Source organism: Homo sapiens, chromosome X (assembly GCF_000001405.40).
Source record: "Homo sapiens chromosome X, GRCh38.p14 Primary Assembly".
Lineage (NCBI taxonomy): Eukaryota > Metazoa > Chordata > Mammalia > Primates > Hominidae > Homo > Homo sapiens.
In genome coordinates, this window is record NC_000023.11 from 13,150,632 (window position 1) to 13,175,943 (window position 25,312).

Genomic DNA, 25,312 nt, shown 5'->3' on the forward strand with positions numbered 1-25,312 from the left:
TCTCTTAGCACTTTTCAAGAATATGGCAAGGCACAGTGGCTCATGCCTGTAATCCCAGCACTTCAGGAGGCCAAGGCAAGGAGGATCACTTGGACTCAGGAATTTGAGACCAGCCTGAGCAACACAGCAAGACCTTGTCTCTATCATAATATATAAAATTTTTAAAAGAAGAATATGGGAATTTCAAAAATTGAAGTAAAATTTACATAACACAAAATTAACCACTTTAAAGTATACAATTCAGTGACTTTCAGCATATTCTTTTAGCACTTTTGGCACATAATGAAAAGTTCCAGAACTTTTTCATTGCCCCAAAAGGAAGCACCATTTTCCTTAGTGGTCATTCCTCACTGCCCTCTACCTCCAGCCTCTGGCCATCAACAATCTGCTTTCTCTTTCCATGGATTTGCTTTTTCTGGACATTTCCTATAAATGGAATCGTACAATGTGTGGCCTTTTGTGTCTGGCTTCTTTCACTTAGCATAATTCTTTCAGGTTAATTTGTGCTACAGTGTTTATCAGTACTGCTTTACTTTTTATGGCTGAATAATTTTCCATTGTATGGATAGACCATATTTTGTTTATCCATTCATCCACTGATAAATATTTGGGTTGTTTCTACCTCTTGGCTATGGTGAATGGTGCTACTATGCACATGCATGTACAAGTATTTGTTTCTGTCCCTACTTTCAATTCTTTTGGTAGCCTACACAATTTTAAACATAGGGTGGATACATGTTTTGGTGGGTAATAAGGGACAGTAGGCACCTATTTCACCAGAGGGGTGGCCCCCAAATGGACAATACAGTGTCATGCTTACCTTCACAAGCATAGTCACAAGTTTTGTCCTCTTTTGGAGTCTCACATCATTATTCTTTTGTAAAAGCCCACATAGCTATAGTAGAGAAGTTGCGGGGACTCTAACTCAAAGGTGGGGACCCAGAGCAGCTTTCAATTTACGTGAGTGACTCATTCCTGATGAAGGACTTCCACATAACTAGTACAGTGTCAAGGGAAGGGTTTTTTGCTTCCTCTACTTAATTATAACTTTCAGTTTTTTAGGAAGGAGAAAAAGATTATTATTAGTGTGAAAAAGCACCAGATATTAGATAGCGGCTCAGAAAATATGTTCTGAGGATAGTTTTCCTGACTGAGAAAATGAATTTCCATTTAACATGACTGTTAACTGAAGAATTCCAGTCTTAGGCTCATATACCCAGCTGTGGTAAATAAAAATTTCCCTAGTTTTGGGGTGTGTAAAGAAAACACGGCTTGTCTCCAGTGGCTACCAAAAGGAAACAAACACAAAAAGAAATGGAAGCTGTGAAATGCTAACATCTCTTCAGAGACTTGGAGCCATTTCCAGAACCCTGGGCTTCTCTTTGTAGTCTGGTTGCTATGGCTCTGTCTTCGTTACTGCAAAATACTGTCTGATATACTCTGGTAAGTGGTTACATGAAAGAGTCGATAACCACAGAGGTGCTGGCAGATCCCTATCTTTCAAGCTCTCCTCTCAGCCTGAAGCTTTCTGACGAAGTCTTTCCTCCCAGCTTCTCATTGCTTCTGGAGCTGCCAGTAATTAAAGAGACACAGGAAGAAATAAAAGAAAATGCCACTCACAAGGAATCAAAGAAAACAACACTCAGAACACATCAGCCAGTTCTCTGCTGAAGCTCTCAGGGGCTCTGTGTGGCAGGAATACCAAGCTGAAGGTGGGCTGAATTTTGATTTAAAAGGAGAAGGGTAGACCTTGCAAATATTCTGCCTGGATAGTACACATTGTGGGTTAAGATGTGTCAGTGAGAGTCTCCAGTCTTCAGATGCAAGTTGAGCTCGTTATGATCGACGTGAATCTGCATGTTAAAAGGAGACTCGTTGCTGTGGGCAGTAATGCAGGGAGCTTCTTGAAATTGCCTTTGCGAGAAAAGTTGTAACGGTGAGCTGAGCTAACCCACCCCACAGTTTGCCTTTCCTTTAATTATTCCTGGGCTTTTGGGCCAAGCTGATTTTGAGAGACATTTAGGCTGCAGTTTAAATGATAAAAAGCCTCCCGTAAAACTCAATCGCTTTTGTAACGCTAATGGAAGGCCATCAGGCTGCGGGGAGGAGAGCAGCCTGGGTTCTGCTAAGATGCAAACATGAACAATTGCCAGCCATTATTCCAGAGGTTATAAGATATGCAATTTCCCCAATTACTCCTACAAATAACATCACTATTGTAGAACTTAAGATTGGCCTTTTGAGATATCTTTTCAGGCTTTTTGTATGTCTGACACCCATGGCTCCACCTGGACCCTCCAACTCTGCTCCTGTGGTCCCACCCAGAAGCAATTCAGCACACAGGAGAACAGGTGCAACTGGCTATGATTTCATCTCTGCACCAACCAACCAGCTGCAAGCCTAGCCACCCCCACCCCTTCCCCCAAAGATGCCTTTGAGAAACGCCTAACTTGTGAGCTTTGGAGAATGATTTGAGTACTAACTCCATCTCCCATGTGGTGTGGCCAGCCTGTCTATTAAACTCTTCCTTTGCTACAATACCATGGTCTTTCTTTGTGTAGGGGGCAGGAAAGAACCCCTTGGGCCATTACATTCTAAGAAAACATTAAGAGTATCATGGCTAACCACTTTCTTCTCTCTGCAGCCCCTCCTCATCTATGAATGGATCTGTGACCATTTCTGCTTTGGCCTCCTTCTGAAACCACCTTTGCAAACATCATGACAGTGACAGAAGTCTAGCATGGCTGGCTCCATCTTGCTTCTAGCCTCACAATCTGGCTATTCTTGCTCATTCCTGGGCATAGGCCAAGCTAACCGTGGGAGGAATTTAGTTTACAGTTTAACATTGAAGCAAGGATGATAATAGTTCCTCCCAGAACCCCTCCTTGTTCAGGGACTAAAACTACCTTTGTAAAACTAATGAAGGGCCACAAGATTAGGATTATGGGAGGGGCCTGAATTCTGCTGAGATGTAGGTGTAAACGATAACCAGCCATTGTTCCCTAACTTGCTTTCTATTTTATTTTTATTTTTTAAAGAGACAGGGTCTCACTATATTGCTCAGGCTGGCCTTGAACTGCTGAGTTCAAGAGATCCTCCCACCTCAGCCTCCCAAAGTGTTGGAATTACAGATGTAAGCCACCATGCCCAGCCTCCTAGCTTGCTTCTGTAATCCCTTACTACTCAGGAGTCATGTGGCAGAAATTATAAGATTTGTGACTTCCCCAATTGCTCCCGTAGATAACATCACTAGTGTAAAACCTAAGATTGGTCTTTTGAGATGGTTTTCAGATTTTTGCATTATGGCAACCAACTGACTCTACCCCGACCCATGACTCATGACTCAACTAATCCCGTGGCCCCCACCCAGAGGCTGAGTCAGTGCACAAGGATTGTTTTCCACAACCCTACAATTTCATTCCTAACCAATCAGCACACCCAATCCCTAGCCCCCTGCCTGCCAAAATATCCTTGAAAAAACCCTACCCTCCAAGCTTTTGGGGAAGCTGATTTGAGTACTAAACTCTTGTTCTTCCACTTAGCTGGCCCTGTGATTATTAAACTCTTTCTCTACTGCAGTACCACTATCTCAGTGAATTGGTTTTATCTGCGCAGCGGGCCAGAAGAACCCATCAGGTGATTGTACTTCCCTTCCTTCCCAGTGGAAAAGGGGTTCCTCATCCAGTCCAGGGGCCCCCAAGAAGCTTCCCTCTTTTTGTAAATCAGCTTTATTGTAGTATAATTTATGTACAGTAAATGGTATCCATTTAAAGTATACAATTTGTTGAGTTTTGACACCCATGAAACCGCTGCCATAATCAAGACACAATATTTCCATCACCTCCAAAAGTTTCCTTGTGCCTCTTTGCTGTTCATTCCTTTCTCTCTGCTTCTAACCTTAGACAACCACTGATCTCCTTTCTGTCACTATAAATTAGTTTGCATTTTCTAGAATTTCACGTAAGTGTACTTATGTAGTACGTACTGTTTTGTGTCTGGCTTTTTTACTCAGCATAATGATTTTACAAGTCATCCATTTTGTGGGTAGCAGCAGTTGATTGTGCCTTTTTATTACTGAGTTGTATTCCATTGTATGGATGCAGCAGTTTTTGTTTAAGCATTTTCATGATGGTTGAGTTGTTTCTAGCTTGTGGCTATTGTTTCTCCTCTATCTTTAATTGCTTTCTCTCTTCTGCCTCTACCACTTAATATAGAGATATGTTCAAGTGTCTTTCATTTAAAAAAATACTCTCTTGACCCAGCAACTTTAGGTACTCAGTCTCAGAACAACTTGGGATTTTCTGGTGTATTCCGGGGATTTCTAGGCATAAAATCTGAATAAACCAGGCAGGTAAATTCAAGTGGTCTGTTGCAGTCATGGGACAAGATTATCTTTCCAGATACAGTTTATCTAATCTGGACATTTCTCAGAGCTGGCCCACAGTCTCTGGAAGTGGCTGCCTCAGACTGGCATCCCCCTGGGTTATTTTTCTTCCTCTTTCTGGACTGAATAACGATTCTGTGCCCCAGTTTATCACCTGGAAATCAGGAAGGATCTTTACTTATAATTATTTAAAATTATAACTAAGTTAAAATTAGTGAACCAGGTAAAAATCAAAGAATATTGTCATGGATGGTTTATTACTCCATTCTCACACTGCTATAAAGAAGTAGCTGAGACTGACTTATTTATAAAGGAAACAGGTTTAATTGACTCACAGTTCCACATGGCTGGGGAGGCCTCAGGAAACTTACAATCATGATGGAAGGTGAAGGAGAAGCAAGTACCTCTTCACAAGGCAGCAGAAGAGAGAGAAAAGCTTAGGGGAAACTGCCATTTATAAAACCATCAGATCTCCTGAGAACTCACTATCATGAGAACAGCATGGGGGAAAATGCCTCCATGATCCCATCATTTACCAGGCCCCTTCTCAACAGGTGGGATTATCGGGATTACAATTCAAGATGAGATTTGGGTGGGGTCACAGCCAAACCATATCATTCCACCCCTGGACCCTCTCAAATCTCATGTTCTCACATTTCAAAACACAATCAGGCCTTCCCAACAGTCCCCCAAAGTCTTATATCACTCCAGCATTAATCCAAAAGTCCAAGTCCAAAGTCTCACCTGAGATAATGCAAGTTCCTTCCTCCTAGGAGCCTGTAAAATCAAAAACAAGTTAGTTACTTCCTAGATACAATGGGGGTATAGGCATTGGATAAATGCTCCCATTCCAAATGGAAGAAATTGGCCAAAACAAAGGGTCTACAGGCCCCATGCAAGTCTGAAACCCAGTGGGGCAGTCACATTTTTTTTTTTTTTTTTTGAGATGGAGTTTTTCTCTTGTTGCCCAGGCTGGAGTGCAATGGCACAATCTCAGCTCACCGCAACCTCTGCCTCCTGGGTTCAAGCAGTTCTCCTGCCTCAGCCCCCTGAGTAGCTGATATTACAGGCATGCACCACCAAGCCTGGCTAATTTGTAATTTTTTTAGTAGAGACGGGGTTTCTCCATGTTTGTCAGGCTGGTCTCAAACTCCTGACCTCAGGTGATCCACCAGCCTCAGCCTCCCAAAGTGCTGGGATTACAGGCATGAGCCACCGCACCCGGCCAGGGCAGTCAAATCTTAAAGCTCCAAAATGATCTCCTTTGATTCCATCATGATGATGATGATGATGATGATGATGATGATGATGATGATCACTAATCAAGGAGTCTTCCTTTTTGTTGTGTCTCTGTGGTAGAATAAAGGCCCCCAAAAATGACCGTATCTTAATCTCTGAAACCTGTGAATATGTTGCTTTACATGAGAAATTGGACTTTGCAGATGTGGTTAAGGTTATTGAGATGGGAACATTATCCTGGATTACCTTGGTGGTGGGCCTGATGTATCACAAGGGTCCTTATAAGAAAGAAGTGGGGATTGAAAGATGTTATGCTTTGCAGATGGAGGAAGGGGCCACAAACCAAGAAATGCCAGCAGCCTTTAGAAACTGAAAAGGGCAAGGAAATGGATTATCTCCTAGAGCCTCCAGAAGGAACCAGACCTGCTGACACCTTTATTTTAGCCTAGTGAAAGCCATTTCAGGCTTGACCTCCAGAACTGTAAGATAATAAATGTATTCTGTTGTAAGCCACTAAGTATGTGGTAATTTGTTATGGCAAAAAGAGGAAACTGAGTCTCTAAGTCAAAGCCAGTGCAATTGGCTAGGATTCCAATTTCTGAATCCTTGGTCACAACTATTATGAGTTCCCAGAGGAGATACAAAGAGAGGACACTCCAAGCAAGTCAACGATGCTTTTTACTAACTACAACCATGGTCCCATGTTTGTAGGTGGACACTGTGGCTTTTGGTGAGCTTTGGTGAGCCCTGGATGGCCCTCTGTGGGCTTAGTAACCTTGAAAATGAGGGTATAAAGCAATCTGTGGAAAACTGGCCTTTCAAGGGTACTGCTTTGCCTATAGCTTTGACTTTTCATTTCACCTACTGAAAATTAGGTAATTCAAATAGAGACACTTGAGAGACAAATGGTGTTAGACTGCACTCCCCCAAAGTCAAGCCTTAGAGTAATTTAATATATTGCTGCCACTTTAATCTGACTAGTATTCCTGGGTAGAAAGTCTCTTGGGGCCCTAGATTACTATTAATGTAACTTAACCCTTGTGTTGGCAACATTTACTTGGATATAATTCATGGATGGATCATGGATGCTCTCCAGAGAAAATGCTAAACACAAACAGGATCGTATTGGTTTCCATATACTTAATTTCTTGCTGACCTACTCAATATGGTTGAATATAGACCTATGATATACAGTTTCAAGTGTATTTTTTGATATTTTTAAAGAACCCATGTGCCAAATATAAGCATTTAGAAAAACTGTTAGCAAATGGAATGTAGAGTACCACAAGCTGAGTATGCAGCAAGCTGACAGCCACACTAGCATGGTCATTTATTGCTTATTGAATTTACTCAGATCATCTTTGAGTCCAATGCCATGCACACAGTAGGTTCTTCATCAGTAGTTGTTCAAGTCAGAAATAAATTTTAAAAATATACATGGCTCCATTATATATGCGGAAACTGCAAAATAAGCATAACTAAATACCTGAATTTCCAGGCACTCTGCAGTAGATCAGAAAGCCCATGTCCATTTGATCAAAGTCCAGGGGATACACAATGTTAAGTGCAAGATGTATCAATTCACCAGTGAAACTCCAGATGGCTTTCCTTCCCACTTCATCATGTCACATCAATATGGTAGCTTGTGAGTTGTATCCACAGTTGACATCCTATAGTCTTCAGCTCTAGTAATTTAAATTATTGTACTTTATTTTGACTACTCAGAATTGTCTCCTGAATTAAATCAACAAACACAAGCATATTTATATACATACACCCACACGTATATGAAAGTATGAGTTTACAGTGTAGTTGGAAAATTAAAATATAGGCAGAAAAAAATTACAAAGTAAAATATAATGTCAAGTGAATAAAACAGATAGTTACAAAATAAAAATAATATTTTTAAAGGTCAAATTACAATGATCTGGTTTGGCCACGAGCCTTTTAAAAATATATATTGAGTTTTAATTCATATGCCATACAATTCACTTAAAGTTGCAATTCAATGATTTTTAGTGTATTCACAGGGTTGTGCAAACATCACCACAATCAATTTTCAAATAGTTCATCAACCTTAAAATAAACCTTCTACTCATTAGCAGTCACTCCCATTTTCTCTTGACCCCTCACTCCCACCCCAGCCCATCACAAATCTACTTTCAAGTTCTATAGTTTTTTCTGTTCTGGACATTTCATAGTAATAGGATCATATGACATGTGGGGATTTGTGTCTGACATCTTTTCCTTAGCATAATGGTGTCAAGGTCCATCCATATTATAGCATGTATCAAAACTTCATTCCATTTTTCTTTTTCTTCTTCTTTGAGATAGAGTCTCTGTTGCCCAGGCTGGAGTGCAGTGGCATGATCTTGGCTCACTGCAACCTCTGCCTCCCGGGTTCAAGCAATTCTCCTACCTCAGCCTCCCGAGTAGCTAGGATTACAGGCGCGTGCCATCACACACAGCTAATTTTTTGTATTTTTAGTAGAGATGGGGTTTCACCATGTTAGCCAGGATGGTCTCCATCTCCTGACCGCATGATCCGACCAGCTCGGCCTCCCAAAGTGCTGGGATTACAAGTGTGAGCCACCGTGCCCAGCTCCATTTTTTGTACTAATAATATCTCATTGTATAAATAGACCACATTTTGTTTATCCATTCATCAGTTGTCAGACATTTGGGATGTTTTTACTTTTTGGCTATTGTGAATAATGCTACTAATATTTGTGTACAGGTTTTTATGTGGACATATGTTTTCATTTTGCTTTAGTGTATATCTAGGAGTAGAATTGCTGGGTCATATGGTAACTCTATGTTTAACCTTTTGAGGAACTGCCAGATTGTTTTTCCAAAGCAGCTGTATTATTTTACATTTCAACTAACAGCATAGGAGGGTTCCAATTTCTCCACATCCTTGTCAAGTCTTGTTATTGTCAGTCTTTTTATGATAGCCACCCTAGTATAAGTGAAGTGGTATCTCAGTATGGTTGGTCATGAACTTTTTGATAGGTCCAGGGGTGCAGGAAAAGGATTTCACAGAAGAAAAGATCAAGAAGAAAGGCATAGAGGTAGGAACTCCCTGCCTGACCCCAGCATGTTAATTTCACCTGTTGAAGGCAAGTCATTTTTGTTTGCACAGAAAATCTGTGTAGGAAAATAGTGGAAGATGAAACTAGAAAACTCCCTCAAAGGGAAAACTGCATATATATATAAGTGCAGGGTGCTGCAGGCTGGGTTACTGTGTGCAGGAAACAGTAGAGACCTTGAAGTGTGTTCTTTAATAAAAATCTTGCTTTAGGAAAATTAATTTGGATATACAGAACTTTGAGGACAGGAGAGAGAGAGACAGATGCTGGATGCATTGCATGTGGGTCAGCAATGGGATTGGGGTACTGGTTTGGCATAAGGGATGACAAGTGGAAACCAAGGAAACCCTTGGAGTTCCAGCTGGGACTCTGGGAGAATTCTGGTATCCTAAGACAAAGAAGTCAAGAAGAACAGCTGTTTTGTGGGGTGGGTAAAAGACAGAGCAATTTTCATATTAGAAACTTCAAGTCTGAGGGCATTTTTGAGAGCAGGAGGCCTGGAACTTGGAGAAAGGTATTGGTCAGAACAGAGGTTGACTGCCTGCTTTTCTAAGGTCCATGAGCTAGAGAATAGTTTTCACACTGTCAAGTGGTTGGGAAAAAAAAAATCCAAAGAATAATATATTGTGACAAGTGAAAATTACATGAAATTGAAATCTCAATGTTCATAAAGTTTATTGGAACACAGCCATGCCCATTCATTGACATATGGTCTTTGGCTGATTTCATGCTGCAATAGGAGAGTTGAGTGGTTGCAATAGATTGCATGGCCTGCAAAGCCTGACAAATTTACTATCTGGCCCTTTACAGAGAAAGTTTGTTGGCTCCTGAATTAGTGACAAACTTGGGAGGTATGGCCTCCCAATTGTGATTCTTAAACCTGAAAGAGTGAGAGTGATCCAAATTAACAGTGTATAGAAAAAAGGAGCCAGGGCCAGTCCTTGGGGCTGCTTATGTTTGGGGACCAGAGATAGGTAAAAGAATCAGTGAAGATAGTAAATAAGTTGAAATAAACCTCAATTTAATTAAACATGTCAACTCCCAGACTATTTTATTGCTTGGTACTTAAAACACACTCCCAAGAGGAAGATTAATTAATAAAGCTGCAGTGTGGGATAGCTATCCAGCTGGAAGCAGCACAGGCCCCTAACAAGGTTTGTTTTTGGCAAATTCCCATCTCCAGTCTTCTCTTCTCCCACAATAGGGTGAAGCATCCCATTCCTGCCTTATCCCCAGAAGGCCTGGCTTCCAGACATCTGTCTCAGAAAGAGGTATGAGGCAGAAGGTTCCACTAGGTAAATTGTTGATAAAAGCTCAAGTGCAATTCCTGCCCTAGGATTTGGACTTGAATAAAGGGACTCTCAAGACACTGAGGAATGACTCTCAATTCTGGAAAGTGTAGGCACTTGCAAAGGGGCAGAGAGTTGTGTGAGAATATGGAGGAGGAAGATTCTTGGATGGTCCCTCCAATCAGGCCAGTTGTATGTGCTACGTATGTAGGGGTTGGACCCACCCCCTTGTCCAGTGATCTTGGAGAAGTCACTTAAACGTTCTCTTTTGGTAACTCATCTGGAATTAGGGAATAAATTCTAAGCAACTTTTAAATAAGAAGCATAAAAGCATTTGAGTCTTCAGATTTGCTTAATTGATCATTGCAGACGGTTGTGTCAATAACAATGACGTTTAGAGGAAAAGGTGAAATTGGTTTCTTTTTCTTTTCTTGGACTTAGCTCCAGGAGCAGGGAACAGGAAGCCATTCCCAGAAGTTGCTTTCCCCTCCCACCCCTGAGTACGTGGCAGGGCCAACAGATGTGGCTGAATGCCCAGGCCCAGGGCCATGAGTACTAACCTATGCCCTGGAAAGCAGGAAACACATTGTCTTCATGTACTCTGCAATTTGGGAGCAAACACCAGCAGCTCTTGCAGGGGGCCTTTGTGGGTCCAAATTCAATGGACTGTCTGCTCTCTCTCACCACTGCTCCACCTTTCATTTGTCTGAACGTGGAAACACACACACACACACACACACACACACACACACACTCCAAGCGCTTTTACTTTTCCTCACTCAACAACAATGCAGAAAACTTCTGTGACCAAATATGTGTGTGTGTGTGTGTGTGTGTGTGTGTGTGTGTGTGTGTGTGTGGCGGGTGGGGGGGTGGGGCATTTCTCTACACATCAAGGAGCAGATCAGCTGCATGTCCTCTAATTCAGTTCTGACACTCTCTACCCAGAGAGTGTCAGATCCCACAGGTTGAGGGCTCAGTCCCCAAGACTGCCCCCACCCCCACTTCTGATACCAATTAAAAGCTGCAGGTTATTTTTCTTGTGCTTCTGACCGACTGGCTATAATCAGGTTGCCCACAATCCCCCTTTCTTGGGTTCAATTAATTTGCTGGAGTGGCTCACAGAACTCAGAAAAACACTTATGTTTACTCATGTATTATAAAAGATGTTACACAGGATACAGATGAAGAGATGTGTAGGGCGTGGTATGAGGGAAGGGGTGCAGAGCTTTGATACCCTCCCTGGGCACCACCCTCCAGGAACCTCTACGTGGTCAGCTATCTGGAAGCTCTCTGAATCCTGTCTTCTTGGGTTTTTCTAGAGGCTTTATTACTTAGGCGTGATTGATCAAACCATTGGCCATTGGTGATACACTCAACATCTCCTCTCCCTTCCCTGGAGGTTGGGAGTGGTGCTAAAAGTTAGTCTTTCTGGGTGACAAACCCCCATCCTGAAGCTGCCTAGGGGCTGCCTGCTATCAGTCAACTCATTAGGGTACAAAAAGACAACACTTTGGAATTTCTAAGGATTTTAGGATTTGTATGCCAGGAAACAGGGTCAAAGACCAAATATACATCACAATATCACAATTTGCTTGTTTTTTGTTTCAGCTTGGGATCAGCCTTATTTTTAATACACAGATGCTCTCCTACACAGGAACCCCTTACTTATTAGGGACCTTTGAGATTCCTTTTCAGATCCCCCTGTTGCCATGGAATTGTAGCTGGAACATCCACTCCACTTCCTACTGACTGGCTCCTGACATTTCTCAGTCCCCAAATATCTCACCTTCTCCCAACAGCCTGAATTTTTGTTTTCTTCACCCAGTTTCTGTTTGCAATGGCATTTGTCAGATTTTCACATATCAACATCCTTCTTAATAATGAGAACCTTTTAGGCATTCACATTCTCATATAGATCCACTCAGTCAGATTGCTTTCCACTTAGCTGAATCCACCATATAGAGAAAAGGAAGCTTCTATTGCAGGAATCAGAAGACGAGATGATTCTAGAACATGAAATATTGGTAATGGCTCATCAGGATGGGGTGCTAGTGGGAGGGATAGGAAAGCCTGGGAGCCCTGGGAAACCTGATAATCCCAAAAGAAAGGCAATAGAACGTGGCAAAGGAGCATAGGAAAGGAGCTTGTTGACCCACACCTGCGCTGCACTATCTGTAAGAGTAGTTCTGCGACAGCACCATGCAGAGGAAACTCCTTTAGTCCACTTCTTCACCTGCTCCTCTTCCCCTTATTTTCTTCTTTTCCCTCTGCCTCAGTAGAGTGAGTCAAAGTGGAGTCCTCTGAAATGTACTTTGGCCCTAGAGTCCTATGGATCCGTGTTCACATTTTGAACAAGTTACTCAATCACTCTGAACCCTAGTGTGTACATCTACAAAACAGGGGATCTACCCTGAAGGGATGCTGTGAGAATTAGGTGGAATAATACATGTAAAGGCATCTGCACAAGTTAGTTTTTTTTCTTCTCTGAAAGCACTGACTGGAGCTGCTCAGGAAGTACCAACTGGTGCCAGTTCCCCAATGAAGTATGTGTGTGATAAATTATCCTGCATATCTATATGCACACACCCCTATTCACTTAGCTTATCCAAAAAAACTAGAAGCAGCATAGAGGAACAACATTAGCAGACTTTGCTTGGGGGAAATCAGACCTTGGATTCCCCTGCCTCCCAACCCCCAACCTCACCAAATTAGTATATTATCAGGTTCCATCTAAGCGTGTACCCATGGCAAATGCACTGTTCACTGGTAGTTAATGGAAATAATGCCCATCCAATATGGGGCCACCAAAACCTTCATAATACAGTGCGGTTGCTGACCTGGAAATGATCTCAGCAAGCATCTGGCCCGCTAACCATCAAACCCTCCCACTTCCTTCTATATATAGGAAAATGGAGGCACAGAGAATTTAAGTGCTTTTAGAAGGTAATAGTTGAGAAAAAACTAGGACTAGAACTCAAGGCACCTTGACTCACAATCCAAACTATCTTTCTACCACTCCTGGCTGAGTTCATGAATGTAAAAAGAGACTGTTAAAAAAAAAAATTAAATATATAACACCTTGCAAGATGTTAACCGCCATTACTTATTGTTTTAATTATAAATTACCCATCTTTCTAGATGCTTCTGCAGGGATCTTGACAAGTCATTTCTGATCCTGCCCTATGAAACAATCTCTCAGAGACTCAAGGAACTCCAGAGGCTACATCTGGAGGGATATAAGGGGGAAACTGAGCAAAGAGGAGGCAGTGGAACATAATTTTGCAGGCAGAAATTTAAAAATATATGTTTAGTGCAAACTCTTCTAGTTCTGTGTGATTTTGTTTCTGTTTGTTTTAAACCAAGAAAAAACACCACATTCTTGATTGCAAGGAAGTTTTTACCAGAATAAGAGGCCATGAATTCCCATGAGCCACCCTGCCTAACAAAGCCAGAAGACCCCCTGGCTTAAAGGTTGCAAGTTAAAGATTACAGGTCAAAACATTTTAAAAGCAGCAACAATGCAAACTTTATATAACAAATGACAAAGATATATAACGATATAATAATAATAAAGAAATAGCTATATAAAAAGAGCTAGGTAGATGATGGATAAATGGATGGGAAAGAAGGAAGGAAAGAGGGGAGGAAGGAGGGAGGGAAGGAAGAAAGAAAGAAGGTAAGAAGGAAATAGGCCTAAGTGCTGTAGTTGATCTCTGGTGGCAAGCAATTTTAGTTTTCCAACTTTTGCTTCTCTGCATTTTACAAATTCTCGTACGTTCTTAAACAACAACAACAATAACACCCACCCTAATGATCAATGTTATTTGCTAAAAGGGTTGACAATGACAAACACAAACCCCTTGAAATTTCCAGTTCTCCTTTCCAGTAAATCTGCTTTTGCATGGGCTCCTCCGCATTCCTCATTCACATCAAGGATTCAAGAAATTCCACTCAACTGAAGTCCAGATCACATCTAAGATTGATCGTTCCACATTTAAACCTTTCTCTGATCCCTTCAGTGACTTTGCCTCGCTTGAGAGAAAATGACAACCGACTCACTGTTTCATTTTCCCTTCCATTCAGCCAAGCAATCCAGGGCCCTATTCCGTCGTTTGCTTTTCATCCATAGGGCTTCCAATTCACCCATGTGAAAACATCTTTGCAATTACAGCCTTCACTCAGTGTCCCCAGGTTAACTTCAGGACCCTGATTGAAGAATCTGAAACCACTTGACAAACTAATTTGAATTGCAAACAGCTACCAACACAAATCCAAACCCTTTCTTTTAGCTCTGGGAAACTAGCTGTTTTGATGTGTTAATCATTTAGCTAGTAAGATAACTTAGCTCATCGTTTTATCTACGAATTACTTAACAAAATTCCTTTTAGTACTCTGAAGGCTAAAATACTGTATATGATATATATCTCAGCTACTACAAAGTCATGAAATAATAAAAATAAGCTTTGACTCCAAAGAATGTGAAAACAGGAAAATAAAGGTTTTAGTGATACTGGGATCTAGTTTGTTTTAAAATCCAGATGAAAGAAGGCTACTTATACTGGGAAAAATATGTTACCCAGCATGTTCTGGAAAATTCATTTTAGAGCCTTGGAAACATTTAGGTGGGATTGTAGGAATCTCTGAGAAGTATGAACTGTATTTTTTTAAACTTCTCTAGAGTTTATGACATTTGTGTTTAATTTTGTTTGGTTTCAGAGACTGAAACATCAGCTATTTTAAATTTTTAAACACGTCTTTTTATCTCTGATATGTGCTAGGAACTGTGCTGTTATTACAGGGAAATTAACATTGAGTAAGACTTGGCACAGTGAATGGCACATTGTAGAGAGAAAATAAATATTCAATTAATGAATCACAGAAATCTGATATTATTCATGTAAAACTGAAAGTGTTTCCTAACCGTATTTAGGAGTAAGATTTTAAGATTTATGTACCAGGTTCCTGGAGGCCTAATGAGCCACATATATTCCTTGTAGAGGGTATTCTAACTACAGTGTTTGCTCAGCTGTGGGTTAATGAATACGTATCTGTGAGAAGAGCTCTTAATGTTGTAGTGACAATATAAACAATAATACATCTGACATTTATCAAATGCTTACTTCTTGCAAGATGTTTCCCACTTATTATTTCACTTCATCCTCACCATCAGTATTTTTGTTGTTGTTGTTACAGATAAGGAAACTGTGGAACAGGTAGGTTAAGTGACTTCCCAGCACCCAGAGCTAGCAACTATTGAGGGCAGGAACCAAAACCAGGATTCAGATTTCGCAGCCAGGCCTCTAAGCTACTTTGTCTCTATTGTGTTTTTCCTATAACAATGCAAGGGGGATTGATTTGAAAGGCAAATGTCCTGTGTGTCCCATGTGTCTGCAGCACCGTGTCTTTCTCCTATCATACACTGCTCTCAATTGCTTAACTATGTGTAAATGTCTGCTTTATCCACTAGACAAGGCAGGGCACGCCTTGTGTCTGTCCCATCTTCCCTACATGCCACCCCTACCACTGGACCTGACACATTGAAGATGCTCAGTGTATATTTATGGAACTGAATTTGTTTAAAAATCCATTAAATAGGAAAAGCAATAACATGTGCTATTGTACTGTCTGTCTCATTGGGTCGTGAGCGTCAAGGAGAAAAAAATCCATAATCCATATAGTAACATTTATTGAGGATGGGCTCTGTGCCCATTATCATGTGGCCTGCTTTACATATTAGCCTCAATTTAGACTTTTTGAGTATACGACTTAGATAACAAATCATGAAATGAGTGTCACGTGGAAAAGAACCCAGAGTCTCAAGCAGCCTGGGGACTGGTTGACCAGAAAGGCGGCCATTACAGTAATGCAAGGGATGGAAGATATGACCTAAGGAAGAACATGGAGAGAAGGGGGCTCATTCAAGCAATAATTCTGGAAGAATTTGGTGAATCCATTGAAAAGGGGAAGAGGAAAGTATCTAACATTACTTCAAGGTCTCTAGGGGGACACCTGGGTTAATGGTGGGCCATTTTCCTGAGAAGATTAGAAATAGGGTGAGAGGAGGGAGTTTGGGGATGGTGAGCACAGAGTGGCAGATGAGCTTGGGAGGCGTGTCTCTGGGAGTGATTATCCGCTGAAGAGGTGGAATGGCCAGAGGGCTGGGGATTAAGGGCCACATAGGCTATAGATTTAAAATTCTCCATCCCCAAATAGCACATATGTCAGAAAGTAAAAGGGCATGGCTATTGAATCTTAGGATTTCCTTTGAGTTTTTTGTTTTTGTTTTTGTTTTTGTTTTTGAGATAGAGTCTTGCTCTGTCACCCAGGCTCGAGTGCAGTGGTGCAATCTCGGCTCACTGCAACCTCTGCCTCCCAGGTTCAAGTGATTCTCCTGCCTCAGCCTCCTGAGTAGCTGAGATTACAGGCATACACCACCAAGCCTGGCTAATTTGTAATTTTTTTAGTAGAGACGGGGTTTCTCCATGTTTGTCAGGCTGGTCTCAAACTCCTGACCTCAGGTGATCCACCAGCCTCGGCCTCCCAAAGTGCTGGGATTACAGGCGTGAGCCACTGCTCCCAGCTCCTTTGAGTTTTAACTCTCAATGACGCTAGGTAGGAAGCCAAACTAGATGCTAGAAGACAGTGTACTTTTACCAATTTTTGTTCAGAATGAGCTGCTTTCCATTTGCTCACCAAGCCACGCAAAAGCCTTCCCTGGCTTTGCCTGGCAAGTTTATGCAACTCCTTGAAAACATCCACTTTCCCAGATTTAAATAAAATTTCTCTCCCTGAGGGAAGGTAGAATTTTAACATCCTGAGGCTTGCCTGCTGGCTACTGTGTGTCCCTAGTAGGAGAAAGCCCCTTTGTTGCTGGGTTATGCTAGCTTGTAATTTGGACTTAAATTTAAAATTACAGTGTAGGTTGCAGCTGCAGCCTGGGGCTTTGTTCAGAGTCTGCTGCTTGGCCCTTTCCTCCATGACATCATCGCCTTTCTAATTACAGACAGCTTCACTTTTACTTAAGACAAGTGACACAACAGAACAATGGGCATTGGCATCAGTGAGGCCTTAGTGTGAAGAAATCAACAGCTAGCCTTGGGTGAGCAGACTTCCTTATCCCACTGGAAACTCGCAGGAAAAAAAAAAGGTTTCCTTCTAGTTTAAAGGCAAAAAGTAGTTTTTTGACCCTCTCTGTGTATCTTCGTACATTCTGGCTTCCACTGGGGCAGAAACTTCCCTGAACTTTGCAAGGGCAGACAGCTGCTTTTCATTATGAAGAATACATCCCTGATGAAGGTGATAATGTTTCCAGCGGAGCCCGTTCTGAATGTCCTTCTGCATTGAACTTGTGAACCCTTCCACTTCCTGCTCTCAGAGGAAGTCTGCCCTCTGAAATGCTCTTATATTTCTCCTTTCTTTACCCAAACTTTTAGTTGACTGTGGAGACTTTCCAGAGTTTACATTCTGGTCTCCACCTATCCCGCCCTCTCGGCAACCTAGAATGACAGCGTGGGGAAAACCCACTAGTTTCCGTGGTTTTTATATGAATTGTTAAAGCACACTTCCAAACAGAATAATGAGAGTTAGTTTAGGAAATATTTGCTTCTCCACTCTGACTTGAAAATCAATTATCACCCAACAAGGATTTCAAATTATATCAATAGGAAGGAGAAGGGGATGTTTGAGATTAAATAAACACTTTGGTATTACGTATTAGGCAACTGGACTCGGGTACCATTGTGTAAGGCTTTTTGGGAAGAGAGCAATTCAATTTTGTAGTTTAGTCATAACAATATTGAAAATGTAAGTTACTTCTTCTAAAGTTTAGCATAGACATGACTATCTCCCTAGGATTTCTTTCTCTTATACTTTTGTGTCAGATCCCCTGAATCACTGATACCATATGCAGTGGTTTTAAAACACAGTTGTGTATTAATCTGTTCTCTCATTGCTATAAGGAACTACCTGAGACCCGGTAATTTATGAAGCGAAGAGGTTTAATTGACTCACGGTTCCACAGGCTGTACAGGAAGCATGGCTGGGGAGGCCTCAGGAAACTTACAAACATGGCAGAAGGTGAAGGCTTCACATGTACAGAGAAGAAGGAAGAGAGTGAAGGGGAAAGTGCTACACACTTTTAAACAACCAGATCTTGTGAGAACTCACTCACTATCACAAGAGCAACAAGTCTGCCCCCATGATCCAATCACCTCCCACCAGGCCCCTCCTCCAACATTAAGGATTGCAATTTGACATGAGATTTGGGCGGGGACACAGAGCCAAACCTTATTAGGTTGCAAATTCTGTGACAATTTTTTCATCAATAATGGTGTCTATGTCCTGTCCTCTTGAATCAGGTGGGCTTGTGACAGCTTTAAACAATAGAGGAGGCAGAAGTGATGTTATGTAAATTCTGAGGCTAGGTAATAAAAAGCTCTGAAGCTCTGTCTTGTTAATTGGGGACATTTGCTCTGAGAGACCTAAGCTACCATGTAAGAAGTCCAATCACCCTGAGATCACCATGTTGGAAGAACACATGTATAACATATGCCAATGTTCCAGTAGACAGTTCCAGTAGACAGTCCCAGTAGACAGTAGACAGTTCCAGTAGACAGCCCCTTCAGCCATGGTGACCCAGGTGTCATATATGTGGATAAAGAACCCATCACAGAAATAGATTCTCTGGCTCCAGCTATTCCAGCCTCCAGCCATTTGAGTTACTGCTGGTCATTTAAATTATCCCAGCTGAGACCCAAGATATCATGGAGGAGAAAAGAGCCATCCTTGCTCTGCTGTTTTTGGATTCCTGACCACATAATAATTTTTTTCATGGTCCTACTTCTTGGGATATATAACCAACAAATCACATTTTTCTTCATTCTTTTGTCCTTTTTATTTGCTTGTTTATTCTCTTGTTTTGGTAGAACATTTCCATCAGTGTTTTTCTGAGAAAGAATATATGAGAGGTAAATTTTTATGTATTTTTCTATCTGATAATGTTATTATTTTAAGCACTCATTTGGTTGATACTTTGGCTGGATATAGAATTATCTGAACATTTTAAGGCATTGTCCCTTTGACTTCTAGCATCCTATGTCTCTATTAAGAAGTACAAGGTAATCTGATTTCCAATCTATTATATGTTATTTTACCACTTCCACCCCTCCTACAGGAAGCTTTATGCATTTTTTTTTAAAAAAATTTCTGGTGGCATGAAATTTCGCAATGCCGTGTTGTCACTCAGGTCTTATCTGTTTATCTATCTATCTATCTATCTATCTATCTATCTATTTATCTATTTACTGTCTACTATCTATTATCTATTTATGTTAGGCTGTCAGTGAGCTTTAGTCTGGAGACCCTTCTGTTTTAGAATATATTAATATATTATTTTATGAGTTTCTTCCTCTGCTTTCCCCATTCCCTCTTTCTAGAGCTTTTATTTATTAGATGGTGGACCTGCCAGACAGATTTTTTTTCTTTTCTTTTTTTTTTTGTAAACTGGGTCACACTCTGTCACCCGGGCTGGTGTAATCATGGCTCCCTGCAGCTTCAACCCTCCAGGCTCAAGCAATCCTTCCATTTCAGCCTCCCAAATAGATGAGACTACAGGTATGCACCACCATGCCCATTCTTTCTTTCCTTTTTTTTTTTTTTTTTTTTTGTAGAGATGTGATCTCACCATGTTGCCCAGGCTGGTCTCAAACTCTTGGGCTCAAGTGATCCTCCTTCCTTGGCCTCCCAAAGTGCTGGGATTACAGGTGTGAGCCACTGTGCCCAGCTTAGACAGATTTCTCTTATCCTTTCGCTCACATTTTCCACCATTTTGATTTTGGATTTTATTCTCCTGTGGATTATTTAGTTGTACAATTTCATGGGACACCAGATAATGGCAGTGGTTTTCCAATGGTAATGAGTTTGTTCAATAGAGCAGTATGACTGGGAGATCACCTTGACTTTATCATCTAAAATTTTCACTGAATTTTTTCCTTTGGGCTAAGGAACATTTTTCTGTTTCTTTTTTTAACATGTTATCCTAGTTTTGTTTCATGCATAGAGTACCGTTCATAACTTATGGTTCTGTGAATATTAATTTTAATTTATTTAAACTTTGTATTCCTCCTGATTTATCTCCATCTCCTTCAGCTTCCTTTATTTGTGTGTGTTTTGTTTTCTGTCTCTCATGTTGCAGGCTTTTCTTGGTTGTATGTTCATATTTAATACTAAAGCACAGAAAATAAAATTCAAAGCTTTGTGAGCAGAGGTGGAACTTGATGACAGTTGACTTTCATCGTGGGGTGTGGGGTGATTTTTTGTTGAGTTACATTTCATGTTGGTGGACCTCTAGATATTAGTATCTATAGAATCTTTCTGTGAGAAATTTACTTTCTTCAGTTACCACTCCACAATTTGTATTGGTGAGCTATTGCTATAGCCACAAATGCCCCCCAAATCTCCATGGCTTACGACAGCACTGATCTTTTGTTTAAGTTACATGACAGCTGTTGCTCCTCTAGGCTCCATTGGGCCTGGCTCCACATGACTTTGCATTCTGGCTTTCTAGCTTGAGAGCAGACATCATCTGGGGAAGTTTATTCTCCTGGTGAAGGACAGAAGCACAATGAAAAGAACTGAACCACAGAAGTGCATTAATGCTTCTGCTCAGACATGTCTTATGTAGTATTTGCTCACACTCCATTGGCCAAAGCAAGTCAAATGGCCATGCCCAAAGTACATGGGGTGGAGAAGTAATTCCACCTATAGGAAAGCAGAACAAGTATTGGCAGGGAAGAAATGATTATGAACAAATAATAAAATCTCTCATGGTATCTCATGCTGACTGGTTTCATTTCTCCTGTTCTCTCTATCGTGTAAAGTTATACTGTTTTCATTTTTTAATATAATTTTCATGGGTTTATGGGAGGAGGATCAGAAATCATTGTGCGTGTTCAGTCTTTAATATTTAACTAAAAGTCTGCTGTTAACTTAAATTCTAGGTGATATTTATATTGTTGGACCAAACTTAGCATTTGCCAGAAATAACTCTTGTATAAAAAAGGAAGATGCCAGAATCAACACTCAGATTTGTTTGCTTGAAATTCAGAAAAAAAAAAAAAAATGCATGTGAAACTAAGGAGAGTACTCACCTGAGGATGGAGGTGGGTGGTAGGAACCAGGATATGGCATACAGGAATGCCAGGAAGATTTGTACTGTATAATAGTTACACATTCTTTTTTGTGTAATACGCAGACGTATTACCAAAAAGTTACATTCACCAGTAAATTTTAGCTATGGTAAACCTTAGAAGAATTAACTTTATTTTTAAAATATTGTTAGGAAATTCAGGCCAAGAGAAGCAAACCTTTCCGAAACTAACTCTCATTACTCTGTCTGGAAGTATGCTTGAAAAATTAATATATTTCCATTTTTCAAAATGAGAAAAAGAAACTCAGAAAAAGGAAAAATAAAAACCTGCTTTGTTCTATCCAGTACATTAGCAGAAAGCACTGGAACACAAATGGAAATTGGTAAAAGATTCACTTCAAATGTCACATTTCTGGAGATCTTAACCCACCCCTACCCACTCCTGCCCCAGGAGAACTAATATTTTGTGTCTCTGTGTCAGGCAAAGCTTTGTTTGTGTTTTCACCATGGCACTCATAAATCTGTAATGCAATCATTGATCTATGTGTCTCTCTCCTCCACTAGACTGGGTTTCCTATAGCTTTGTAATCTTAGGACCTACCTTGGTGCCTGGCACTTAGTCAAGTGTCAATGAGTTGTTAATGAATTAATGTACACTATTTTTCTTCAGAATCTAGTGTAGTAACATGAGTAAAATACTAGCAAAACAAACTACTCTCTTTTTATTTCAGGACGCTCTAAATTCCAGTGCTGATATTTGTGAAAATTTCATTTCTCTTACTTATTTTCTTTTTTTCTTCCTTAACTGTTTTTGTCTTCTCTGAACAACCACAAGAAATAAATGTCATTGATACATTAGTGTTTTCCAAGATGAAAGCTTTTTTTTAGAATGTAAAAACAATATGTATTTATTGAATAATACAAAACAAAATGTTAAAACAGGAGAAAGTATATGAAGTGGAATGTGAATAACCATGCAATAACATATCCCAGGGACAACAGCTATTAACAGATATGAAGACAATTGCAATTAACACACACACACACACACACACACACACACACACTCTCACACAAACACACAGTAAAAATTAGGAAATAAAAATATAGCCATTAAAATAAACAGTTGATAGATGTACTGGCCTTCTGATTAAATGTGATAGATTGAACACCCACATTTATGTCTACTCCTCACAAAATCCTACTAAGATGGAACTCAAAAGATTATTTGTTTAAAGGTATAGAACTATAAGATAGAATGGGGGAAAAAAGATGATAGTAAATTAAAAGATGATAGTAAATTTTGGAAAGTGGACAATGGTTACACGAGTGGAAACTGACCTAAAAGACTTGAAAGCTGAAATCTAAGTTAGTGGTGGTAGAAATCTCCAAGGAACATGATTCCCATGTGAAACTCCAGACAGGCTCTCACTAGTTGGTGAAGCTGCCCATTCCTTTAGAGACCGCTTTGATCCTCAGGTTAAATTTACAAACCATATATTTCATTAATTACCGAAACATGAGAACATTCTCATTTTGGATAATAAACACCACCATCTCATTACGCTAAAGAATTTTCAAAGTTTTCGGAAGCACTAATGAGTCTAAAATGATGACAGATAAAAACTTTTGAATGTTTTGAATGTTAAGATGCTACTTCTGTCTGTATAAAAAGTTGGTCACAGTCAACTTCTCTTCAGCCACTTTCCCCTTAACCAACTGGTTTCCCTCTATCCTCATCAGTTTTTGAATTATCTATAAGCTAGGTGCAAATGTAGAATTACTATTCAATAAATTCCATAAGGAAGTATTATATCCAGTCTATTTTACATTCTAGTATATTTCCATCTGGTTGGGCCCAGACCATAGTCCATTCTGTTTTTAGAAAGTGAAATTCTCTCACTCCCTTAATTATGGATCCAGCCTCATTCATTAGATAACCCTTTTTCATTCTTTGCCTATTTCTTCCTTTGGATTAGAAGCCTGGATTTCTCAGTTCATAATTTTCCGTGAAGAACAGGCAGACTTTAGGAATTTCTGTCTGTAATTGACAATTGTTACAGCCCTAGCACTTTGAGAGAAATGTGTGAAGAAAAACATTCATTTGTCTGCAGCTTTCTTTGGTCATTTCTCAGCCTTTGCTTCTATGGATGGAAATCAGTTAAGTGCTAAATTATACCAATTACTCATGCAAAACCTACATTTGTGTAATCTTGAAGGTCAAGCTCGGCACAAAAAGTTCCCTAAAAGAGCAAATAATACTTATCTTGTAGGGTTGCCCTGAACATTAAGTGGCCCATATTTGAGTTTTGGCTATTCATTTATCTGTAGTTTGGAATAGTCCAGAACCGTTTCTTAAGGGAGCTACTGATCCCTTTCCATGGAAGCGATAGTTAATTTTATGTGTCAACTTGACCGGGTTAAGGATGCCCAGAAATGCTGGCAAAACATTATTTCTGACTGTGTCTGTGAGGAAGATTCTGGAAGAGCTTAGCATTTGAATCAGTAGGCTGAGCAAAGAAGATCCACCCTCACCAATGTGGGTGGGCACCACCCAATTCATTAAGGGCTTGGATAGAACCAAAAGGCAGAGGAAGGTCTAGTTTGCTCTCACTTCTTGAGCTAAGGCATCCATCTTCTTGTGTCCCTGGTTCTCAGGCTCTCAGATTCCAGGACTTACACCAGTGCCCCACTCCCCCAACTCCCACCCTACTCCCCACTCCACCCCTGGTTCTCAGGCCTTTAGACTCAACTGAATCACACCACTGGCTTTCCTAGTTCTCCAGCTTACAGACAGCAGATCATAGGACTTCTCAACCTCCATTGTCATGTGAGCTGATTCCCATAATACATTTCCTCTTATGTGTCTATATACATCCTACTTGGTTTGCCTTCCACATGTGATGGCTGTGTGGACCTTCATCCAAACACCTGTCTTGGACTGGCATTTTTAAATTTCCTAAGATGAACTTAACATTACCTATCTTAAGCAGTTTTCTGTTGCTTATAACAGAATACCTGAAACTGGGTAGTTGATAAAGAAGAGGAATTTATTTGTTACAGTTAAGGAAGCTGAGAAGTTCAAGGTGGAGGGGTCACATCTGGTGAGAGGCTTCTTGCTGGTGTAGACTCTGCAGAGTTCTGAGGTGGTTCAAGACATCACATGGCGAGGGGGCTGAGCATGCTAGCTCGGGTCTCTCTTCCTCTTCTTATAAAGCCACCACTCCCCACTGCCATGATAACCCATTAATCCATTAACCCATTAATGTATTAATTCATGAATCAGCTCTGTGCCCTCTGACCCAATCACCACTTAAATGCCCCACCTCTCAATACTGCCATATTGAAGGTTAAATTTCAACATGGGTTTTGGAGGGGACAAATATTCAAACCATAGCACTACCCTATCCTTTTGATGGTTGAAACATATGGATCTTTCCCTAATTGGCAACAGAAAATGTCTGGCACTGTGTTCACAATCTGCTCTGCAAATCTTGTCGAAAGCACATTTTACAAGAAATAATATTTTTGGAGCACTGCTTAAGAGAAATGAAGTCCAATCCCAGCACTTTGGGAGGCCAAGGCAGGAGGATTGCTTGAAGCCAGGAGTTTGAGACCAGCCTGGATGACATACGCCATAGTGAGACCCTGTCTCAAGCTAAAAAAAAAAAAAAAAAAGAAAGAAAGAAAAGAAAAGACATAAATGAAGTCCATCCTCAGATATTTAATTTTTTTTCCTTGGACCAAGTTAATCCATTAGCAAGCTTTGTATTTGATCATCATTGTTTCGGCCCCACACAGATCACTTAGTGAATTTACATCTGCCTTATACATTTACTCTATGATGAAGGTGTCTTATAAGAACAGGTGTCTTATAAGAACAGACTTATGAAGCTCATTTTTATGTGTTGCAGAAAAGTTGCCAAAGCTGCCTTACATATTTGCTTTTCAAAATGTGGTCCTGGGAACAGCAGTTTTGACATCACCTGGAAATTTGTTGGAAATAGAGAATCTTGGACCCTACTCCAGACCTGTTGAGTCAGAATCTGCTTTTTAACAAGACCCCCAGGTGATTTGTGTGCACATTAAAGTTTGACAAACATTGCCTTAAACTATATTCTTCTTTGCCAGAAATCATAGACAAAAATAATAACAAAAACCA

At 40.5% G+C, this 25,312-nt stretch overlaps 1 long non-coding RNA gene across 1 annotated transcript, besides 1 other annotated feature; it reads right to left on the reverse strand.

Moving 5' to 3' along the window:
• Positions 1,755-2,354: an enhancer, noted in NCBI's record as "OCT4-NANOG hESC enhancer chrX:13170505-13171104 (GRCh37/hg19 assembly coordinates)". NCBI's record gives its function as "activates a minimal SCP1, AML or CMV promoter by ChIP-STARR-seq in primed H9 embryonic stem cells {active_cell/tissue: H9 hESC(primed)}" and the evidence as "EXISTENCE:reporter gene assay evidence [ECO:0000049][PMID:30033119]".
• LOC105373134 (uncharacterized) lies at positions 5,062-14,344 on the reverse strand. The gene is made up of 3 exons (XR_001755798.2): positions 11,791-14,344; positions 7,110-7,308; positions 5,062-5,161 (listed from the first exon to the last, which is right to left on the reverse strand). It is a non-coding gene; the product is annotated as an uncharacterized LOC105373134 (long non-coding RNA).
• Between the last annotated feature and the right edge of the window lie 10,968 nt (positions 14,345-25,312).